This window comes from Homo sapiens, chromosome 17, assembly GCF_000001405.40.
Source record: "Homo sapiens chromosome 17, GRCh38.p14 Primary Assembly".
Lineage (NCBI taxonomy): Eukaryota > Metazoa > Chordata > Mammalia > Primates > Hominidae > Homo > Homo sapiens.
In genome coordinates, this window is record NC_000017.11 from 17,440,645 (window position 1) to 17,442,850 (window position 2,206).

General features: G+C 56.0%; 1 annotated feature.

The window, feature by feature from the left end:
- Positions 1,119–1,964: an enhancer, noted in NCBI's record as "NANOG-H3K27ac-H3K4me1 hESC enhancer chr17:17345077-17345922 (GRCh37/hg19 assembly coordinates)". NCBI's record gives its function as "activates a minimal SCP1, AML or CMV promoter by ChIP-STARR-seq in primed H9 embryonic stem cells {active_cell/tissue: H9 hESC(primed)}" and the evidence as "EXISTENCE:reporter gene assay evidence [ECO:0000049][PMID:30033119]".

The window sequence follows — 2,206 nt, forward strand, 5'->3', positions numbered from 1 at the left end:
CCAGGGTCCTAATGAGCCTCTGACAAACACAGCCCGCCCTCCTGACACAGAAAAGACAATTAGACATGCACAAGTGGCCTGTGAAATGCCAGGCTGGGCACTTGAGCTCTCCATGAATGGCACCCCCTGTACCCTGGGCCTTCTCGGAAAAACATTGCTTGGGTTCCTTACGGGTGGTAATGGCTAATAATGCAGAGAGAACACCGTGTTTTGGTTTCAGGCCTTTGGCCAGGGCGGTGAGAGAGGGGTGTGTGTGTGTGTGTTTAGTGATGGTAGTGGGGTGATATTTATTTTCATTTCTCCATCATAAAGGAATTGAAGTCCTATAGCATGTCAGCAATGTCAATGTTTCAGGGTGAAATAAACAAGTAAAAGGTGTTAGCGTTCAGATGAGCTCTAGCAGCCTGTGACGTTAGGAAAATCGCCAACTCCTGGGGCCTCAGTCTTCTCATCTGTAAAATGAGGATAATAATAGAAACCACCTTCCACTCATGGTGATTGAGTGAGCCATCGCAGGTAAAGCACTCAGCCCCAGGCCTGGAACATAGGACTCATTGAACATTGGCTATTAACTTAAAAGCAAGCGTTATGCGTTTTAGTCTATTTAAGGAGCCACTTTTGAATATCTGCTTGTGAACTCCTATATGAAGTTGGCTGTGAAAACACAGAAAACACAGTCTTTATGCTCACAGAGCTTGAGGACAACCAGGGTGACAAGAAAACCATCCGGGCAGGGCCAGCTCAATGCTGGCGCGTTGGCACCAACCAGGAGACAGCTGTGGCTTGCTTTAGGTCTGTTTGTTTCTTCTAATTTGTGTTATCTTTTTTCCTTTGGTGGTGGAGGAAGGGCGGTTTCTGTAGGCCGCAGACAGCAGGGTATGGATCATTGGTCTGGTCAGGCTTTAATCAAGTGAAAATCTGCTCTTCATTTGTTTGTTACTGCTACAAAGCACATGATTTTCTTTTTTTTTTTTTTTTTTTTCCACATCTGTTTTTTTTGTTTTTGTTTTTGTTTTTTTTTAATTTATTTATTTTTTATTGATAATTCTTGGGTGTTTCTCACAGAGGGGGATTTGGCAGGGTCATAGGACAATAGTGGAGGGAAGGTCAGCAGATAAACAAGTGAACAAAGGTCTCTGGTTTTCCTAGGCAGAGGACCCTGCGGCCTTCAGCAGTGTTTGTGTCCCTGGGTACTTGAGATTAGGGAGTGGTGACGACTCTTAACGAGCATGCTGCCTTCAAGCATCTGTTTAACAAAGCACATCTTGCACCGCCCTTAATCCATTTAACCCTGAGTGGACACAGCACATGTTTCAGAGAGCACAGGGTTGGGGGTAAGGTCACAGATCAACAGGATCCCAAGGCAGAAGTTTTCTTAGTACAGAACAAAATGAAAAGTCTCCCATGTCTACTTCTTTCTACACAGACACGGCAACCATCCGATTTCTCAATCTTTTCCCCACCTTTCCCGCCTTTCTATTCCACAAAGCCGCCATTGTCATCCTGGCCCGTTCTCAATGAGCTGTTGGGCACACCTCCCAGACGGGGTGGTGGCCGGGCAGAGGGGCTCCTCACTTCCCAGTAGGGGCGGCCGGGCAGAGGCGCCCCTCACCTCCCGGACGGGGCGGCTGGCCGGGCGGGGGGCTGACCCCCCCACCTCCCTCCCGGACGGGGCGGCTGGCCTGGCAGAGGGGCTCCTCACTTCCCAGTAGGGGCGGCCAGGCAGAGGCGCCCCTCACCTCCCAGACGGGGCGGCTGGCCGGGCGGGAGGCTGACGCCCCGACCTCCCTCCCAGACGGGGCGGCTGGCCTGGCGGGGGGCTGAACCCACCTCCCTCCCTGACGGGGCGGCTGGCCGGGCGGGGGGCTGACCCCCCCACCTCCCTCCCGGACGGGGCGGCTGGCCGGGCGGGGGGCTGACCCCCCCACCTCCCTCCCGGACGGGGCGGCTGGCCGGGTGGGGGGCTGACCCCCCCCACCTCCCTCCCGGTACCGGGACGGCTGGCCTGGGCGGGGGGCTGACCCCCCCCACCTCCCTCCCGGACCGGGCGGCTGGCCGGGCGGGGGGCTGACCCCCCCCACCTCCCTCCCGGACGGGGCGGCTGGCCGGGCGGGGGGCTGACCCCCCCACCTTCCCTCCCGGACGGGGCGGCTGGCCGGGCAGAGGGGCTCCTCACTTCCCAGTAGGGGCGGCCAGGCAGAGGCAC